A 21,824-nucleotide genomic window follows, 5' to 3' on the forward strand; every position below is an offset into this window, starting at 1 on the left:
ATTCAGGAAACAGGAACATAACCAGTAAAAGAAACTTTGGCAAGACCTTCCTCAGAATGTTTCAAGACTGGGAGAGAACAACATCCCAAGTGGGGCAGAATTTTAATTTTTCTCTCTTGAAATGTTTCCAACCTTGGAACTGCATTCATGGTAAGATATCTGATTGATCCCATCCTGCAGCCTTCTTTGTTGGTCCTGGGGGTGGGTGGGCAAAAAATAACACCCCTCCGTATAGAAGGCCATGTTTTCCCTGATCTGCTGGAAGGTGAAGTGATGGCCCAAGGCCTAACAGCAGGGTCCTCACCACTGAGGAAAAGAGAGAATGTTCTGTAGATTTTCCCGAGACTGACATATATAAACTGTGAATCATTCACTTGAGGACAGGATGGGAAGAGCTGATGGAAGCCAAGTGGGAGAGAAAGTACAAAGGAAGATTTCCAGAGATAAAGAGAACAACTCCTCAGTGAGCCGGCTTGGAGAGAACAAGTGGAGGGAGGCACGTCTTCAGCCTGTCGTTAGCAGATGTTTACTAACTCACTGTGGTACTGGAGCCAGCTGGGGCTAACTGAGGAACATTTTCCATCCCAGATCCTTTGTGGTGAAAAAGAATAAAGTAGAAAATGAATGGCACCAGATTGTGTCCATGATTTATCATTTTAATCTTGTCACCAAGAATTGAAGAGACCCAGGCTAGGGCAAAGGAAAAGGCAAAAATATATATATTTGACATGAATCAGTTATTTGAGGTCAATCTGGGAAGTTTTTTTAGCACATAAAAAACGTCTAAAAGAAAGAATAGTAATCTAGTAATCTCTCATGGCAAACTTTCAAGGGTGAAGAATTTAATTTACTAAGGATGTACGGCAGCACAGTGTAAGGTTGAACACTAGCTCAACAAGTTAATAGGGATAGGATTCCTGCGATGGCAGAGTTTCTCCAGAGGTCACTTGACTGTTACTCAGACTCTAAGAAGAGCTGTTGTCAGCCCAAATATGGCCATGCTCTGTTCTTATGACTATGACTTGTTCCTGCGATTTGTAATATTTGGAATCAGCATCCTTTGAGAATTAGAACTTACGACAAATTTTCTTTCACCTCTTTCTTCTTCTCAGACTCTTTCCTATTCGTTCCTGCTTCAAGACTTTTGTACTTGCTGCCCTTGTGCCTAAAATGCTCTTGTATCAGCTCTTTACCTGGCTGATTTCCCTTCACCCTTCTGGTCATAGATTAAATATCATCTCCTCCAACAGGCCTTCTCTTATGGCCGCATCTAAAGCAAAGACAATTCCCTATGAGATTCTATCCCATTACTCTGTTTGTTTACATAATAGCAATTAACACATTATCAAATTTTAATAATTATCTGATTATCAAAGAGGAACTCAAAAGGGAAATTAGAAAATATTTTGAACTAAATGAAAATAAAAATTTGTGGTATGGCACTGAAGTAGTACTTTGGGAAAAATATATTGCCAAATGCTTAGATTAGAAAAAGATACACATCTCAAATCAATTACTTCAGCTTCTGCCTAAAGAAAATGAAAAAAAAAGATGCTTACCAGGGGAGATACCATAATCATCAAGAAAGTGCAAAAAGAAGAGTAAATTAAATCCAAAGTAAACAAAAAAGAAATGATAAAAATCAAAACAAAAATCTATGAACTATAAGAGTAAAACAATATAAAAAATTAATTAAACAATGAAATAATAGTTGTTTCTTTAAAAACATCAATAATCAACCTCAATCAGACTGATCAGGAAAAATCAGAGAGCAAGAAAGGACACAAATTACCAGTATCAGGAATGAGAGGTAGCATCACTACAGATTCTACCATATGAAAAGGACAATAGGAAAATATTATATATAACTTTATGCCAATAAATTGACAACCTAAGTGACAGGCAAATTTTTTGAAAGATATTGTGTTAATCTGTTCTTTGTGTTGCTATATAAAGAAATCTCAGAAACTAGGTAATTTATAAAGAAAAGAGATTTGATTGGCTAATGGTGCTTCAGGCTGTACAAGCATGGCACCAGCGTTTGCTCAGCTTCTGGAAAGCCTCATGGAGCTTTTACTCAGGGAAGAAGGCAAAGCAGCAGCAAGCACATCATATGGTGAAAGTAGAGCAAGAGAGAGAGTGAGTGTGGGTTGTGGGAGAGGTTCCAGACACTTTTAAAAAACCAGATCTCAGGAGAACTTACTCACTGTCGTGAAGACACAACCAAGCCACGAGGGATTCACCCCCATTGCCCAAACACCTCCCACTAAGACCCACCTCCAACGTTGGGGATTATATTTCAACATGAGATTTTGCAGGAACATATGCTCAAACTCTATCAGGCACAAACTACCAAAGCTCACTCAAGGAGAAATAGGTAACCTTAGCACAAATAACTTTATATCTAAGAAAAAAATTAAATTTGTAGTTAAAAATCTTCCCACAAAGAAAACTTCAGGCTTAGATGTCTTCACTGGTGAATTACATTTTAGAAAGAACTAATACCAATTCTACATAAACAACTCTAAAAGTTGAAAAGGACAAAATATTTTCCAACTCTTTTTATGAAATCAGGCTTACTCTGATACAAAAGTCATACAAATACATTATAGGAAAAGAAAATTACATACTAACTGTCATCAAACATAGATGTAAAATGTCTATACAAAGTTTTAGCAAATCAAGTTCAACAATATGTACAAGGAATTTTACAAATGACCAAATAGGGTTTATCCCAGAACTGCAAGTTTGGCTTAATATTTGACGACAAATCAATGCAATTCACCACTATTAGCATACTTTAAAAAATAAAACTCATATGATATTTCTGATAGATACCAAAAAAGTATTTGACAAAATTCAGTGTTCATTCCTTACCAAGAAATTAAAATTAAAATAAAAAAACCACAAACCTTCAGCCAACCAGGAATAGAAGAGAACTGCCTCAATCTTACTTAATGGTTAAAAAGCCAAATGTCTTTCTCCTAAGACAAGGTACAAGAAAATCATGTCTGCTCTAACAGTTTCTATTTACTGTACTATGGGTTTGAGTCAGAGCAGTCGGATGAGAGCAAGAACTAAAAACCATCCAGATTGGAAAAGAAGAAGTGAAACTTTCTTTATTTGCAGGCTACATGACTGAATAGTAGAAAATCAGATAGAATCTACAAAACATCAATTGGATTTCTATATGGTAACAATGAAAAAATAGAAATTGATGTTAAACATAATATTATTTATAGTAACATCAAAAATATGAAATATTTAAAGACAATTCTGACAACATATATGAAAGGGCTATGCCCTGAAAATTACAGAACATTGTTAAAGAAATCTTTAAAAACCCAAATAAATGGAGAGATTACATCATGTTCACGGGTCAGAACATTCATGTTGTTAAGATGTCAGTTCTCTCAAGATTGAGCTATAGATTCAGTGCAATCCTAATCAAAATTCCAGCAGATTTTTGGTATATTTAACAAACTGTTTCTAAAGTTCATGTGACAATTTAAAAGATCTAAAACAAATTTCAAGCAAAATTGAAAAAGAAAAACAAAGTTGGATGACTAACACTATCTGAGCTCAAGATTTATTGTAAAAGCTGAAGAAATCAGGACAGGGTGCTATTGGCATCAAGACCAACAAACAAACCAATGGAGCAGAAGACATGGTCCAAAAATAGATCCACGCAGAGATGGACAACTTGGTTTTTTACCAAGGTACAAAGATGATTTAGAGTAGGAAAGGTAGGCTGCAAAAAATTGTGCTGTAACATTTGGATATCCGCATGCCAAAGAATGACCTTCAATCCATATTTCACCTCATAATAAAAAATTAACCCAAAATACATCCCACTATGTAAAATCTAAACTATAAAACCTTCACAAGACAGCACAGGATAAAAACATGGCACATGTATGCATATGTAACTAACCTGCACATTGTGCACATGTACCCTAAAACTTAAAGTATAATAATAATAAAGAAAAAAAAAACATTTGTGAACTTGAATTAGGCAAAGATTTCTTAGGTCTTACACCTAAAGCATAATCCATAAAAGGAAAATAAATCATATATTGGCTTTCAAAGTTAAAAACTTCTCCTCTTCAAAAGACAGAATTTTGTAAATTCTGTAAAGAGAATTAAAAGATAAAAGGCAGCATAGGAGAACATATTTGTAAATAATATATCTGACAAAGAAGCTGTATTTAGAATTCATAAAGAACTCTCAAAATTCAATAATAAGAAAGCAAGTAATCAAATACAAATGGTCAAAAGATTTGAACAGACAGTCACTAAAGAAAAAGTATGGTTGGCAAATAAATAGACGGAAAGATGCTCAACATCAGCAGTTGTTAGGGGAATGCAAATCAAACTAGAATTAGATACCACTACGGAGTTATTGGAATGGCTAACATTGAACACACTGACCCATTTCATGTGTTGTCAAAGATATGGAGTGACTGGGACACACACATTACTGTTGGGCATAGCCACTTTGGAAAACAGTTTGGCAGATTTTTAAAAAGTTAAACATATACTTACTGTATAATCCACAATCCCACCCCTAGGTAAAATAATCACTTATCTTCACACACAGAAAACCTATGCATGGATGTTTACTGCAGCTTGATTTATAATTGCACAAAACTGTAAATGACCCAGATGTCTTTCATCAGGTAAATAGTCATACCAGATTTGGCATATCTTGTACATATTATGGTACTCTATTCAGTAATAAAAAAGACACATTCTTTTTTCTATTGATGCAATCCCTAACACAGGTGAATCTCAAAATAATTATGCTGAGTTAAAGAAGCCAGACGCCAAGAAAAAGATGCATCGACCAGGCAAAATAACCAGTGCTCTGCCCCTACTAACCAGTGGGTTTCAAAAATGATTTTTTTTTTGTCAGTTGTACCCATGGCATGAAACACTTGCTCAGAATCCATACCTCTTGATTATGCCGTTAGACAATAGCTTATTATCTGTGTGCATTTTGGGATCATATACTTTTATTTCATTGGACACTTCTCATCCCTATCACCACCATCGCCACAAAGCAATCTTCAGAGTTATGATTTAGAACTCAAGAGCTGCTAGACCTATGAATTGGGCAATTCAAGAATTCCATGGTTCAACCCTGAAGGTGCAACTTTGATGCTTCTAGCTGGAAGTGGGACAAACTTGGTCATCTAAAGATGACCCCCAAATAAATAAAATTCCTGATCTCTGCTTAGACTACTCCTGCCAGAAACCTCCAAAGTCAGGTTCTCCAGAAACAGTCTAGTCCTGGATTCTGACTCATTCAAGTCTTTCCCCTTACTTTCTCCTGAAAATGTGGAGCACAGGGAGCTGCTCCTGTCCAGAGTGTGGACAACTGGAGTGAGATACTTGGCAGGTGAAGCATTTGCCACCACCTTCACATATAGGTCTTTACTTTGTTTTTGCCTTACCCTTCCAATTTGAGCTGAGTTGTTTTCTTCATAGCCTTTAAAACCAGGTTTGATTTCTAATTACTTTTTAAAATCATCTCATCAAGTCAATGATTTCATGACTGTTTTTCTGGTTAAAACCCCCAGTTTAATTAATCTCAGAGGAATCTTTTTGTGTGGTCTCTCCTTACGGTCATCTCCCATCCCATCTGTCCCATCCTTATGAGGGGGATACAGCCGCTCAGCAATCATGATTCTTCCATGCTGCTATCCACCCTTTCTGTCTGGTTTTCCCGAGTTGCAGGGATTACACACCCATTTGGATTGTGAGACTTCTCAGAACCAGCTTCTTCACAGAAATTCTTTCTAACTCTTCCAGCCCATGGAGCTGCATGTCAAGTTACACATTCTTAAAAGGTTCATCACTGACTAGGATCTATCTCCCAGTTCCTCCACAGTACTCTCCAACCCTATCACTCCCCTCCAACTCAACCTACTGGCATCATTGCCTGCTCCAAACTGTGAGTGGGAAAGTGAGAGTAGAAATTTCTGCATCAGGATCCATAAGCTGAAGTGAGTGGGAGAAGGACTTGAATACAGTCTGTTAACACCTCAGGGAGAGTTAATTAAAACCTGAGGAACCAGAGATACCAGATAGTCCTAGCATATCTCAACAATGGCAACTTAGCAGTTTTTATTAGTGCCACAATCATACTAAAGAAGGAAGTGAGTGGAGAGGTGCAAAGAAAACAAAAAGAGCACAGAAGATGATGGGGAGGACAGAAGCCTAGCTTTTGCTGACTTCTTGGACTGCTTAGTTGAAATCCAGGAGTTCTGAGAAAGTTTAGTCATGCCTGTCCAGCTTTGCCCGTCGCTGGACTTTTTCTGAATTGCCAGTGCCAAATATTTGAAAATTTTTGAGAGATTATTTTTTGTGGAAATATAGCCAAAAGTTTCAGGGAAATAGACAAGTTTCTAAGAAGCTGGACTCCAAGAATGGGTTCCGTGTGAGTAGAAAGGAATATTTTAAACAAACCTAGTATTAAGACTATGGCTATATTCAAAAGTGATTAAAAGTATTTGAGGATTAGTGAGAAAGATACCAAGTGGTATCAAAGTGTTTATTTTAAAGATGAAACAAAGAGATTAAGCTTCTGATGTGTTGATAGAAGGCTAGCCTGTTTTAATAAAACTATTCTCCTTCTTTCGCTTTTTCTCCCTCTTTTTATTTTCATTTTACTTATAATCCACTCCCATTAGCCTTATTCACAGCAGTGGCCCCAGGCAGTCTCAACCATGCATCTAAGATTCTATTCAATTCACTACTTGGTGTCAGTACAGCCCAAACAAAGTGTCACCTCTTGGGGTGATGGCCAAAGGTCCTGAAAACTGATACAAACTTACAAAAATAACTCACCACCTGCATTTCATATCCTCATTTTCTTCTTGTCCATCTATGCTTCAACTTGTACCTCTCTTCCCTTGGCAACCAGAACCTCTGCATTAGCACGCAGTGAGCACACAAATAAGATGATCATTTTTCCCGAGTTCTCTCATCTCCAGCCCATGATGTTTTACTGTTGCATAAGATTTCACTCCAGAATGTCCTTTGGGCCTGACATTCTTAGACGTCAAACATCCCATCCCTACTTGATTTCAAAACTGTTAGTATTCCATAAGTAAAATTAAGTAGGACCCCTAAGGTAACGTTTTCTTTATCTGCTAATTAGTGGCTTTCTAACTTTGCTAGACCAAGCCCTCTAAAACACAATTACACAGGGAGTACAAGAAGGGGACATAGAAAAAGAAAGCAAACATCTAAGTACATTCAGGGATCTCTGTAACATTCAGACACAGAATGTTAGAACTTAGAAGGATCTTAGGCAATATGGTTCAATCCTTGCCAGCTTCACAAGTTGTAGCATTAGCTAGGTGAGCTTGGACATACCATTTACACTCTCTAAGTTTCATTCAGTGACAGAGCCAGGTTTGGGACCCAGATATTCTGATACTTTTCTTCCATGAAGCCTTTCCAATTACATAACCTACAAGTGTGCTCACTCTTTAGTGCAAATGTAGAAAAACAAGCTTTGTGTCCATCGGGCATGAGCAGTGTACCCCCTATTGAAAGTATTTTTGCCAGACTTGGTTGCTCATGCCTGTAATCCTAGTGACTCAGAGGCTGAGGTAGGAGGATCTCTTGAGGCCAAGAGTTCAGGAAGAGCCTGGGCAACATAGAGAGACCCAAAATCTAAAATCAATAAATCAATAAACTATAGTCAGGTGTGGTGGGGTGCACCTGGAGTTCCAACTACTTGGGAGGCTAAGGCAGGAGGACTGCTTGAGCCCAAGAGTTTGAGGCTGCAGTGAGCTATGATTATCACTGTACTCCAGCCCAGGTGATGAAACAAACCCTCATCTCTAAAACTAAAATAAAACTAAAGATAGATAGATAAATAAATAAATAAATAAATATATAAATAAGTGTTCTCAGCACCCACAGCTGCAGCTGTGAATGGTCAGATCAGCTCCAGAGGGCCACTGCGGGAGAGGCCCCAAAACAATAATACGGAGTCCACCATCAGCTCTGAAACCACCAAGAAGCAGCAGACCTTTTGGGAGAGATCAGCACTGACCATAAGTTTTCCTTTTCTAGAGAACTATTTTCTCTCGCAAGCCCTCATCCCTTATCAGGTCCCCAGACCCAACCCCCAGCCTCAGCTCTAGAAAAGTGAATCTTTAAAGACCCAACACTTGACCTGGCTGGCTAAGGGGTAGAGTGCTGTTCATTCGTCATGGAAAATTTCCTAAAGAAAAGAAATGCATTTATCTTAATTCTGCCCTTACGTTTATACGATTCTTTTCCTGAGGATTTCTACTCTTAATAGAAAGGAGAGAAAGAGGAAGAAAAGAAAATCTTTAAAGAACATACTTTATAGCCCTATGTACTGGGTCACGGCTGATAAACTAAGCCCCTTCAAAAGGCTTGAGAGCAGAGTAATTTAGATTTCCATTACCTCAAATAACCAGGGCTGTGTGCTCAGACCATTCCCTGGGTGTATTCTCCTTCTTTGGAGGCCACCTATTTCAGCCCATTAGACTTGCCTGAGAGGTTGTCTTGGGGTTACCGTTGCTTCCCAGGACTTTAGCTGAACTCTGGGAAAGGCAAGCTGAGGGACTATTGAAAAACACAGACATGAAAAACGGAGCTAGTATAAACAACAAAAATTTACGTTATGCAACTGGCAGAAGTTTGCCAGGGAGGATTTTGAGTGCTGGAATATATTTTTAAATCTCCATGAATAACTTAAGATCTAGGTCAAGCCAGGGGCAGAATGAAATAAAAATAAAGAAAATAAAATGAGAGAGATACTGATTTGATTCATTTTCCCATCTGTGAATACCCCGAGATGTAGGCTAAGGAGAAATGCTTGTTAATTTGTGCAAGGGAATTTTTTCTCTGGTTTACTGTGCTATCCTTCCTTTTGGCCTTTGTCGCTCAGTTCCAAACATCACAGTACACTGATGCCTTAAACCTGCTTTGCAAATGCTCATGTCTAGTATTTTGCTTTCTTCTTTAAGCTCAAACCTTTGAGTTCTCAGGCCTTCCATCAGCTTCATGAAATGCACCCCAGCATTGCTCTCTTGATCTGTGTGTCCTCTCCTGAACCCTACCCCTCTAACACCTTAGCCTTCTAGCCACCTACAGTCAGTACCATGTGGAGTTCTGAAGACACAGGTCAAATCTGCCTTTTGAGCTTTCAGACTTCTCCAGCCCTATCTCCTTTTCTTCCAGGGATCTAATGACCATACTGTATCCCATGCCCATGCACAAATCACCAGAATTTTCTTGGACAAAATTACCTTTCTCAGAATCCAGGGCTTAGCCTTCTGGAATTCTCTGTATCTGCTTCCCTCAGAAATCCTGGTAATAGGTAAGAATTTGAAAACAATAAATTTAGGCCAAGTTGTTTGTACCTGAAAACTGACCTCATAGGTGAGCCAATTGGGCACTAACAATAACAATGTAATTTTTGATTTCATTCTGTCTCATTCTATTTTCACAGTCACCCTGTGAGGAGGCATAGAGACATATTACAGATAGCTGAGGTCTCAGTTAGGGGCAAGACTTGTCTAAGGGGATGACAAAAGCTTCTCATCCCACTCAGAGTGAAACTAATCTTCTTAGCATGGCCTTCAAGGCCTGTCATGGTCTGCCCTGTCTTTCCCTCTCATCTCATTTTCCATGACTCTCTGACTCTTATTTTCATATTTTCTTTTGCTAAAGTATAATTTTCAAAAGTTTAAAAACATCACTTTCATAAAAGTATAAATTCAACTTATTAATTAATGAGAGAATTAGTAACCTGTTAATATTGTTACAAAAAAGAATTTGAAGAACAAAGTATGTAGGGTGACAGAAATGTTGGTGTGAATTTACTAATAGATGCAAAACTGGCTAAAATCCAATAGGAAAACTAAGTATAAAGTTTGGAGCAATAAAATTGACAAGACTTTTAGCTAGAATAATCAAAAAAAAAAAAAATAAAGAAGGCTCAAATTATAAAGTCAGAATGGAAGAAGAGACATCATTACCAATCTTACATAAATAAAAAAAAATTTATAAGGGAATGTTATGAACAACTACATACCAATGAATTACATAATATACCTGAATTAGATAAATTTTTAGAAGACACAAATTACAGAAAATTCCTCAAGAAATATAGAAATAATGAATAAATCTTTAACAAGTAAAACAATTGCATTAGTAAGTTTAAAACTCACCAAACATTCAAAGAAAAATTGATACCAATACTTCAGAAACCCTTCCAAAAAACACAAGAGCAAGGAACACTTCTCACCTCATTATCTGAAGTCAGCATTACTGGGTCATCATACAAAGAGACACCACAAGAAAACAAAACGTCAGATCATTACCCCTTATTAATATAGACCCAAAAGTACTCAACAAAGCATAAGCAAATTCAATAAAACAACATATAAATACATATATACACTAAAACAAAGTGAGACTTATCCTAGAAATGCAAGGTTTGTTCAACGTCAAAAAATTACTTAATGTAATATACCATACTAATAGAAGAAAGAGCAAAGCACTTTCTTATATCCTTTCTCAATGGACGCAGAAAAAAACTGACAAAAGCCCAATGCCCATTTAAGATAAAAATGCCCAACAAACTAGAACTAGAAAAGGACTTTCTCAGCCTGATAAAGATCACTATGGAAAGCCCACAGCTAATATCATACTTAATAGTAAAAGACTGAATGCTCTCTCCATAAGATCAGGATTAAGATGAGAATGTACATTCTTGCAACTCCTATTCAACATTGTAAGGGAGGGTCTAGCCAGGGCAATTATTTAAGAAAAAGAAGTGAAAATGAAAGTCAAAGGTTAAAAAGGAAAAAGTAAAACTATTCCATTTGCAGATGGCAAGATTTTGTATATAGAAACTATTTACAATTTCATTAAAAAACTATTAAAACTGGTAAATGAGTTGAGCAAGTTTGCAGAATACAAGATCAATATGCTAAAATAACCTGCGTTTCTATGCATCTGCAGTAAAATTGCAAAAATGAAATTAAGAAATCAATTTTGTTTATAATAATATTAAAGAGAACAAAATACTTAGGAGTACATTTAATAAAATATACACCAACATCATTGAAGGAAATTAAAGATTTAATGAATAGAAAGATAGTCCATGTCCATGAATCAGATGACTTCATATTTTTTAAGATGAGTATGCTTCCCAATTTAACCCACAAGTACAAAACTATCCCAATCAAGTTAGCAGCTGCTTCTTTGTAGAAATCACTAATTGGTCCTTAAATTCATTTAGAAATGCAAAGGACCCCAAAAATCTAAAACAATCTTGAAAAACAACAATAAAATTAGATTACTCAAACTTCCCAATTTCAAAATTTACTACAAATCTATAGTCACCAAGAAAGTGTGGTACTGACACAAGGCTAGATGTATAGATCAATGAAACAAAATTGAGAGTGCATAAATAAACCATATTTTTATGATCAGTTGATGTTCAACAAAAGTGCAGTGGCAATTTCATGAAGAAAGAATACTCTTTTTAACAAATTGTGGAGGGACATCTGGACATCCACATACAAAAGAATAAATTTGGATCTCTACCACATAATATATACAGACATAAACTCAAAATGAATCATAAACCTAAATGTAAGAGCTAAAACACTAAAACTCTTAGAAGAAAACAAAAAATAAATCTTTGTGGCTTTATGTCAAGCAATGGTGTCTTTGATATAACATCAAAAGCACAGGTAACAAAAGAAATAATATAAATTGCATTTAAAATTAAAAACTCTTATTTTGCAAATAATACCATCAAGAAGTGAAAAAGACAAACCTCATAATGGGAGAAAATAGTTACCTATACAAAAAAACAAAAATATAGCTATCTATACAATTGAATATTATTTGGCAATAAAGAATGAAGTATTGATACATGTTATAGCATAAATGAACTTTGAAACCATTATGCTAAGTGACAGAAGTCAGTTTTGAAAGACTGTATACTGTATGTTTACATTTACATAAAATTTTCAGAATAAGCAAATCTAGAGAAACAGAGAGTAGATTGGTGGTTGTCTAGGGCTTGGGAGATGGGGAAAGCAAAACATGAAAAAGAAAGAAGGATCTGCTAATAGGGATGGGGTTTCTTTGTAGGGATGAGGAGGAGCAATAAAATGGTCTAAAATTAGATTGCTGTGCTGTTTGTACAAGCTTGTGCACATACGGAACAAAACTGAACTGTAAGCTTTAAATGGATGAATTGTATGGTATAAGAATCATATTTCAATAGAGCTGCTTAAAATGTATTGTTTGGGACTATCTTTTCTACAGGGTAGAATTCAGTCACATCTCTATTAGACAAAATTCATTGTATTTCTTTAAGGAGGATCATTTGCATTACTGTCAGTTTTCCACAAGTAAAATAACTTAGAAAATTGAAATTCAGTTAAAGAGAAACATCTCAATATAATCAGATATCCCCAGAGGATACCCTAGACAATGCTCAGCTCTCTACTGAATGGATACTTAGGTATCTCTTGCCCATTTCCAAGTCCTGCAATTTCCCTTGAAAAATATGAAGCTTGTTCTAACCACAGGACCTATACCAGTTCTATCCCCTCTACTTCAAGCATTCTTCATACATATATTTACCTGGCTCATTCCCCTTTTTCATTCCGGTCTCTGCTCAACTGTTAGCCTCTTATTAAGAGCTTCCCTAATCACATGTATTAGTTATGTTTAACACATTGTCCCACAAAGCTGTGGCTTTAAACAACAAATATTATCTCAGAGTTTCTCTAAGTCAGGAATCTAGGATTATCTTACCTGGGTGGTTCTGGTTCCGGAACCTTCCTTCCACCGCAGTCAGAAGGTTGGTAGGGGCTGTAATCATCTGAAGGTCTGACTGGGGCTGGAGAATCTATTTCCTAGATGGCTCCTTTACATGGCTGTTGGCAGGAGGCCTCCATTCCTTGCGACATGAACCTCTTTATAAACTGCTTGAGTATCCTCACAACATGACAGCTAACTTCCCCAGAGAAGACAATCTAAAAACAGGAGGAGGAAGACACAGTGGCTTTATTATCCAGCCTGAAAGCCATACATCATCACTTCTACTTTATTCTATTTGCTAGAAGAAGTCACTAAGCCAAGCCCACATTCAAGGGGAGGTAGCTTAGGCTGCACCTTTTGAAGAGAGGGTGAAAGAGTTTGTGGACCTATTTTAAAGCACTATAACACACCCCTATGCAAACACATCTCCTTGTCTGGTACTTTCTACTGCCTTATTTGATTTTTGCTTCCTTCATAACATTGGTATTATTATATTATATATGTATGTGTGAATTATTGCTTTCCCCACCACAATATAAGATCAATAAAAATATTGCATTATTTCACACTGAATACTCAGCACATATAATAGTACAAGACATATATTAATTCAATGACTGTTTTGTTTCCTAATTAAACGAACATATGGATGAAGTTATAAATTACAGGAGCAGAACCAGGCTTGGAAACTAGGTACAATGACTCCTAACCTATGCTATTTCCCCGTATTTTACCTTAGCGGAATTCTAACGGTTGAATGCACCTCAACAGTGATTCTGCATGAGGAAAGGGATCCTCCCAGTCCTCCATGACATCACTCAATTGAGACCTCTTCCACACTTCACAGATCTAAAACAAACCCTGCTGACCAAAATTCAAGAAAGTCTTTCTTTGATCCATATGCACAAACAAAAACCCCCTCATCTTTTAAGAGTCTGCATGGGGCCTTGGAAGGGTGGGATATGTCTGATACCCCCACATTTTCTCTTCTCTTTGTAAAGAGAAAGTTAAATAGCACTGAAGCAGCCTGGAGCCCAGGGTTTAATACAAGTATTGCAACTGGGTTTAGGAGTAAGAGACCTTGAATGCTACCTTGCTTGTTCACTCCCGTTTATTCAGGATTTAGCAGGATTTCTGAAGCCAAATATTGATGCTCCTTGGCTCTGGAGAGCAAGGAAATCCACACACAATTAGGAAACAGATGGTAATGGAAAGTACACAGGATTGGGCATCCAGATACTTTGTATCTATCACTAATTTGCTGAAAATTTTATTTTTCATACCTGTAAAATGGCAGGGTGTGGCTGAGGAGAGTATAGACAACTTCAAATTCCTATTCAGGTTCTACTGTTTTGTAAGTTCGGACATGTCTTAGCATCCCTTGGATAGTCTTTGCCAGTTTCTTTCCAGGTATTTCAACAACAATCAGCATGGGACTCACTTTCATGTTTCTCTCCCTTCTCTAGCAGCCTTCAGATTCTAGGAAGATGATGCGTATAAAAGAAAAAAAAAGGCATTTCTCAATGATCTTTTTAGTACAAAGAAAAGTGATGGGAGACATTTAAGACAAACTGCCCACTTCCCGCACAATATGAGGCAAAACACCAACTTCAGGGGACGGGAGAATGGAAATCTTAGCTCTTCCCTATCACCTCCCAGCCAGTGGGAAGTCAGAAAGAATGGTGACTCCTCACGCTTACAGAGGGCAGTGTTATTTCAAAGACTATGGTGAGTTCCCCAGCTCTCAGCAAGGGTACCATCTCACCACTCCCCTTGGTGCCCTCGATGGAGCTTCTCAATCAACACCAAAGGAGACGCGATCTTTAGGGAAACTCCAAGCCTCAGGAACTACCTCATTAAACTGGTGTCTTAGCTGAAGAGACAGTGGTGGGGGTGAATTGGCAACAAGATGTTCATATGTGCCCTCTGATTAATTCACAGGGGGAAATTGTCTTATAACTTTCCACCTGAATGTCTGCCTCTGCATAGCCATGGAGCAGTGCCCTGGAAACAGTAACAGTGATGATAACAATGAGAACAACACCCACTCTGTTTAAGCCCTAGCCCCAGGCAACCTCCTTACCTGATGTGACACCAGAAGGAAAGGACATGGCATTTTCTCCCTCACGAATGTCTGGGAAATCCTATCCTTGCTTGGGTCTTGGGCTGCCATATTTCAATCAAAAGCAAAATGGAGAAAGAAGAATTTAAGAAGTTATTGGGAAGCAAGGAATAAGTGAAAGGAGAGAAAACTCAGTTTTTTTGCTTTACGGCCTGTGATATATGCAAGCTAACCAATTAAAGAATGTCAGAGCTAGAAACATTCTCAGAGATTTAGTTCAATGTCCTTCTGTTTTAGATGAAGAAATACCACAGACAGGTGAAGGAATTCATTCACAATCTCATGGTGTGAGGATCACTTGATGGTTAGGAGTTATGGTTGCAGACAGAAATGAACGGGCCTGAAGAATGGAAGAAACAGGTGAGAAAGCCAAGATGCTGATTTCTACTGAGTTTTAGAAACCATGATCAATAGTATTAGTGACTCTTAAGGAGGGCGATAAAAGGGACAGAGTCCAGGATGTTCCCAGATTTCTAGCATGGGAGACTGGTTACATCTCGGTGACATGTATTAAGATGGGAGATACCAGAGAGGGAACAGGTCAAGAGTTTGAGACTATGTGTCTTATTTGAGAAGGAAATTCAGTTGCAACACCCAATAATCAATTAGGGTTGGAACCCAGGAGACAGGTTCCGATTTGAGAGACAACATGTACTGTGGGTGACAATCAAAGCCATGGGAATGGATGAGGTCTTTGAGAAAGAATTTGTAAAAGGGAGTGGAGAACAGAGCATCTGAAAGAGATGGGTGCTTGAGGGGCAGAGAGAGAAAAAAGAAATGGGGAAACTGAGGAGTGGCCACTTGGGTTGGGGGTAGAACCTGGAATAGAATGTTGGAGTCAAGAATAGCTCACTGCAGAATCTAGGGCCCATGGAGCCCACATGTGCTTAGCCAGGCTCTCAGACCTTTTGCTCTTTCCTGGTCAGGATGAGGTAGGAAAGTCTCCAACATATTTGCTCTGATTTGCTCTCCTGCACGTCCCAATATGAAGTTTGTAGGCTCCTGAAGCAAAGTCAGTGTTCTCAGATACAACCCAGAGTGAATGCCTCTAGAATCAGCCTCTGCTAAGCGATTTCCCAAATGCTCCATATAGCCCATTTGCAGTGTCCCGCATTGAAGGTCTGGTGTGCAGATGTGTCTCTTTAGATAAGGGTGCTGCTCTTTTGATATCTGTTAAATCACAATGACTTGGACTGTCTCATGTTTAGAAGACTCAGAACTTTGTAGAAAAGATGAGAGGAAAAGCGAAGAGAGGAAAAAGAGTAAGGAAGAGCATGGAAAAAGAAAAGCAGTTAAAACAAACATCTAAATAGAAGTCTCTGTGCTTTCAAAGCTTTGATTTCTCAAGCAAAACATTTCTTAAGTGAAAAAGCCACCACTTATTCATTCTTTATTTTTACCTTTCTAGTGTTTGGTGTAAAGTAGGAGCATAAATCATGTCCCATTAATTCATTCAAGAGTCCTAATGCTAATTCTATCAAAAAACCCAGCACAAAATGCCCAAGCATTCATTATAACAGGATTTGAGACCCAATGTGCTGCTCCTTCATGCTTCTCCTGAGAGCGATTTTCCTTGGTTACCCCCATCCTCCCTTTCATTGGCTTCCCCAGGCTCTGGCTTCTCCAAAGCATTTGAAGAATAAGTAGTCATTCTTCATGCTACCTGTTCATTTTTTTCAAAATGAAAAGTTGTACAAAGTATGCAGAAAAGCACAAAAATATGCATTAGTCTTAAGAAGCCAGGGCTGTCCCAACATATTACTCCCATAATTTTCCACTGTGGGTTCCCAGATGGGTTGGATGGTGCTCATGATTCTTCAGCTTATTTCATGCCTTATGCAGCCAGCTCCTAGGGAGGTATGGAAAATGAGAGCCCAGTCTGGAACCTCAGACCTTCAGACTGCCAAGGGCTGGTAGGATTTCCCCAGCATCCAATCTTCATCCTTATAAGGGTCTGCTCTGCCAAGGACCCATTCTCTTGATTTCAGCTCAATGATCTTGTCTGCCTTGGCAGGGCCTGCTCACCACAAGCTTGGATGTCATGGAATTTTGGGGAAGAAAGAGCATTAAATACTTCTCCATGTTACTTCTTGCCCTCCCTGAAACAGTTGACTGGACTCTAACACTTGGTTTGGGGAAGAATTTTACCCCGAAGCCATCTGGCAAGGCTGAAGACATGTCTTTTTATATTCTGCTTTCCTTGGGAGTAATAGGCCAAGAGAGATTCATGTTTGTCTCACAAAGAGGAGGTGACCGTGGTTTCTGGCAACACCTTGCTTTAAGGCAGTGGAGTCAAGAGTAAAGAGGCTGGAAAAGCAGAATACTTACTCTACCTCCACCCCTCACTCCCCTGGGGACTTGTCTATGGTCAAATCCCTAAAGACTCTCTTTTCACATTGATAAATCAGGGGCAAGAACCACATAGCTCACCCCAATTTAGTAAGGCCAAAACAAGAGAGGAGTAGTGAGCATTTGAGAAGCACTGACATGGAAATTATAAACAATGAAGCCCTCTATAAACAGGCTCTTGGCTGAGTTTTAGAGGTGGATTTCTTCATCTGGTTTGGGGCATGTCAGTTCATCCATATAACTCCTGCACGAATCTGATCCAAAGTGTGCAACTCAATTCCTTCTGCATCTCCTTCCCTCACCTTGCTCATTTCTATAGGACACAGTATATTTCAGCACATAACTGCACATCAAGTAAAATTTACTTGGGAGGGGTGGCAGCTAACCAGAATTTGAGTTCTTGCTCAGCGACATGGAATGTATGAAGCAAGGGCCTGGCTAAACAGCTTTATATAATACGACCGAGTAAAGTAGGGTAGTACCAACAAAGAATTTGACTAAGCCTTTGGAGCTTCTTGTCCTGACCAAGTTCACCTGTAGTGAGGAGAGAACAGCCATTCATGGATCACTCAGGTGGTGACAAGGCGACGAGGTAATGCCTTTACTTTCACAGCATATGAGTGGCCTCTCTGGGCTGTGGGCAGAAGCTGCCATGGCCTGGAGGCAGGTCCTGCCATTTTGAAAGTGCCTCCATATCACCCTTCCACATTACTTTTGTGTTTGTAAATGTATGTCTGTCTATATAATCTCCCCCTCTATTCTGGCAGGAAACTCATTTTGTAATGGAACAAAATCAGTCAGCTAGAGTGTCCACTAAATCGCTGTTGCGATATACAAAGGGGCTGGGTTGATATTTGATGTCGAAGAAAGAAAGAGAAAGTGGCCCTGAAGATAAGCCTGGGCCGAGAGGAAAACAGATCAGGCACCCTGAGACCTGGGAGGCACAAGCATGACGAATTTCTACCTTCTGTCTTGGTACAATGTCGACTAAATGTGTCTTTCCACTTTACATCTCAAAACTTAGGTAATGGGGTAGGAAAGCTTAGTGTAACTGAGACAGAATTGAGGACAATGAAGTCTGCTGGCCTGGCTTCCCGCTGTAATGACATGCTGGATATTCATCTCAGCTAAGCCACTTCAGACAATAAAGGAAAGGTCTTAGGATGTCAAATAATTAGTACTAGGCCTATGTGGCTGCTGTACGTTGTATTTATGTCTCATTGTGTAACACAGAGCAAGTCACTGCTCTCTGGAATTTTTCATCTGTAAAATTATATTACAGCTAAGAACTGACCTACCAGAGGGCAAGAGAGTTCCAGCCCTTTAACACCCTGGTATTGCATTAGGGTTGCTCAACCCAAGGGTCATGATGCATAACTCTCTGGCCATGGAGAATCGTTTGTGTGGCTAGAATTTCCTGCTGTGCCCCCAGCCCAATGCCAGGAAATCTCTCCTCTGTTTTTTTTAATTGATCTTTTGTTCGTATGTGTTGTTTCTTCTTTTCTTTGTAGGCTATGAGAAATTGAAGTAAAAGAGGAGGGCTAGTGATCTAGTAGGAACTGGATTTCAATTTTGAATCTGAGTACTTGGTGACATGAGATAGGGTGTTGATAGGTTCACCCATCACCTAACAGCAGAGCAAGGAGAAGATAAGATGGGATGCCAAGCACAAGAATAGATTTCTGAAGGGTCCCAGGGCCCATGAAGAGGGGCCAGACCCACACAGATCCCTACAGTAACTTAGGAGCTGGCACAAGGCAGTGAATTTAAGGGCAGTTGGTCCTTCACTCTAGGTATGTCCCTTTATGGTTTGGCAGCCAGGTATATGCCAGCTTTTCAGGGGCAGGCATTGAAAGCTGCTGTGGGAAGCACAGCTGGCAGACCCTCCAGATTCTCGAAATTTCACCACTGTCCCTGGTATGTTGGCTAGGCCTGCCTCAGTCCTTTCCCTCTTACTGACTCTCAAGAAAGGGATGCCAACCCGTCTGCTTTGTCTGGGAGACTTCCGCTGTTTCTGAGAAATACTGGCTATTGAGAATACCTTCCGGTCTCTGGTCCTCCCCAGTTCAATCAGCCACAGACAGGGCACTTGTTTCCTCCTTGCACCTTAAGGGACAATCCACCCACCTGCCTCCTCACTCCTCGCTCGCAATGCTTACTCAGCCTAGGCTGGAGCCCACCTGAAATGGGGAGGGCCAGGACAACTCTCTTCAGAAGTAAGGGGTGTGGGCGACTTTGTAATGTCTGAGGCTTTGGGTTTCTGAAAATGTCACTGTGTTTTTGCTGAGTCATGGCCAGTTTTCCTGATCTCCATTTTTCCTCTTACTGCTTTTGCCCCTTTTGTCTGGTCCTCATTCCTTAGAACTCAGATATCACAAAATGTCTCCTGGGAATAGATGTACTGAGGCACTGCTACCCTCTTTCTCTCTCTCTCCCTATCTCTCTCTCTCTCACACACCCCCACAGATACACACACACACACACAGAGGAAACCTCATGAAATCTACAGGAAAAAGTATTAGTTTGGTGCAAAAGTAATTTGCGATTTTTGCCATTCCTTTCAATGGCAAAAAACACCATTACTTTTGCACCAACCTAATATTTGGCATTCAATTACTTCTCAAGCAACTGATTGCCTAATCTCTTTTCCTTTAAAAAAATTTATGTTCTACCTGTATAAAACAATATATAGTTTTGTTTTTTAAATTATTCAAGCTGGAAAGTACAAAAAAGTTTAAAAAATCACTCCAGTATTCCATCATTAAGACCACTCTTGTTACTTTTACGTAAGAATTGTTCCTGTGATCTCTCAATGTATACTGATAGGCATAACTTTCTAAAAATGAGATCTTACTGCTGTTTACTTTTTAAAATCAAAAGTATTAAGTTTGCCTGAATTTAGACTAAGAAAAAGATTATTAGGAACCTTTAAAAAATCCTAATATAAAAAATGTCACTTTAACACATGAAATATTCATTCCTAAAAGGATTCTTTTTGTTTGGGGTAGGGGGAGGAGTTGCAAAACTTTAAGATATGGGAACCACGACATTTTTTAACTCATTAGACCCTGGCTTTTAGGGCCATGGCTTGTATTTTACACTTGTTTAGAAGCTATGTTCTTCAAAAATAAAATTAGAACTCACCAGGTGTTTTAATTATTCTTTACACTCCTGCTTCAACACTTTTGCATCGTGCTTCCTATCTACGTAACACGAAGAATCCCCCTCCACTGGGACAACCATCTAGAAAGGGGGAAGAGAAGGAGAGGTTAAGGAAGAGACTGAGAGGATCAGATATCTAGAGAAAATCCATTTGAAGCAAGGTAGACTGGCTTTCTGCCTAATTCCCCCTTTCTCTTAGCAATAACAGTTTCATAATTAGCTTTAGCCAGATTTCTAGATAATTAATCCTCCCACCACAACCTGCCCTACACCATTGTGACTTGGAAAAAAAATTAACCCCATTTTAATGGTACTGATCTACTTACATATGTTCTTATAAAACTGCTTTAAAAATGCAGTATAAGTAAGTGTAATGCTTAGAAAGCTGTGGGGCATGTCTCAGTATCAAAGCATTACTGAATTCAAAACAGCATGGGTATACCGGTATTCCAACCTGTACTCACATCTCTTCTAACATTTTAGGATGTGCCATAGCATATGTCAAGGTTGCTTATTAAACTTTCAATCTTCTCCTGTTCTTTGGCATCCCAAACTCCCTGACCCCTCATACTTCCTACCCCAGGAGAACTTGCCCTTCCATCCACAGCATTTTATCCCGCCATCTTGGTCCCTCAATCTTCCCCCCTCCTTTTCTCCCCTTCCAGTGTGCTCCTCAGTAGTCATGAGCCTGGGCGCTTGCAGCTCCCGCTCAGGAATGCGCTTGCCTTGCTTTCGTCCTTTCTCTTATCAGAGAGGAGTGGGGAAGAGAGAAGATGAGCAAATATGCCATAAGAGGGGAAAGGCAGGGTCTGTCACCTCCACTTTGCTGATGATTGATGTCATGTTGCACTGGCTTTGTGGCTGGGCCCTTGTGAAAGGTGTGAATAGTGGTGGGGTGGGGGACAGATTGTTTGAAACCATCTCTCTCCGGTTGGTTTTGTTGGTTTCTCTACTCCTAGAAGCAGAGGAAAAAGAGGGGGAAGTTAAATATGTGGTGATGGTACTACCTTTTAATCAGTGTCTCCAAATATCCTTCAGAGCAGATTTTCTCAGCATCGGCCAGCATGAAACGAGGGTCTTTTTAAAGATCATTTTCTTTCTTGGATCAAAGTTTCTTTGTTTGTGATTCTGAGTTCCGTTCCTGTGTGTCTCTGTGGTAGGGCCTTGAATAGAGGACTAGAAGGAGAAGAATAAGAAGAAAAGTGTATATCAGGTGCTTTTAAAAAAATCAATTCAAACGAAAATTGCAGAAGGGTGCCTGGACAGCTAGGCTGACAGTGACCAGAGCTGGAGAGAGAGGCTCTGCCTGGTAACAGAGCTCTGATTGGCCAGACCTGTGCAAGGACTAGGC

At 39.1% G+C, this 21,824-nt stretch overlaps 2 long non-coding RNA genes across 13 annotated transcripts in view, besides 2 other annotated features; one reads left to right on the forward strand and one right to left on the reverse strand.

The window, feature by feature from the left end:
* Positions 1 to 21,824, reverse strand: part of DIRC3 (disrupted in renal carcinoma 3) — a 506,425-nt gene that overhangs the window by 128,449 nt on the left and 356,152 nt on the right. For 8 of the 12 annotated variants that reach the window (NR_186301.1, NR_186293.1, NR_026597.2 and 5 more), the window contains 5 exons: positions 21,481 to 21,649; positions 20,456 to 20,554; positions 14,924 to 15,006; positions 14,124 to 14,319; positions 12,835 to 13,055 (listed from right to left, as the gene is read on the reverse strand). This is a non-coding gene — a long non-coding RNA (disrupted in renal carcinoma 3). Of the gene's footprint in view, positions 1 to 12,834; positions 13,056 to 14,123; positions 14,320 to 14,692; positions 14,845 to 14,923; positions 15,007 to 20,455; positions 20,555 to 21,289; positions 21,650 to 21,824 lie in introns of all 12 variants that reach the window. The other 4 variants (NR_186298.1, NR_186296.1, NR_186300.1 and 1 more) reach the window with 4 other exon arrangements.
* On the forward strand, positions 54 to 630 carry LOC124907981 (uncharacterized). The gene is made up of 2 exons (XR_007088086.1): positions 54 to 150; positions 385 to 630. It is a non-coding gene; the product is annotated as an uncharacterized LOC124907981 (long non-coding RNA).
* Positions 13,506 to 13,675: an enhancer, noted in NCBI's record as "experimental_56992 CRE fragment used in MPRA reporter constructs". NCBI's record gives its function as "activates a minimal promoter by MPRAs in K562 erythroleukemia cells, with activity observed for both the introgressed and non-introgressed 2:218290781 variant alleles {active_cell/tissue: K562}" and the evidence as "EXISTENCE:reporter gene assay evidence [ECO:0000049][PMID:34662402]".
* Positions 13,821 to 15,020: an enhancer, noted in NCBI's record as "CDK7 strongly-dependent group 2 enhancer chr2:218291011-218292210 (GRCh37/hg19 assembly coordinates)". NCBI's record gives its function as "activates an origin of replication core promoter dependent on BRD2, BRD4, P300/CBP, MED14 and CDK7 cofactors, with strong dependence on CDK7, by STARR-seq in HCT116 cells {active_cell/tissue: HCT116}" and the evidence as "EXISTENCE:reporter gene assay evidence [ECO:0000049][PMID:35650434]".

The sequence above is a fragment of the Homo sapiens genome, chromosome 2 (assembly GCF_000001405.40).
Source record: "Homo sapiens chromosome 2, GRCh38.p14 Primary Assembly".
Lineage (NCBI taxonomy): Eukaryota > Metazoa > Chordata > Mammalia > Primates > Hominidae > Homo > Homo sapiens.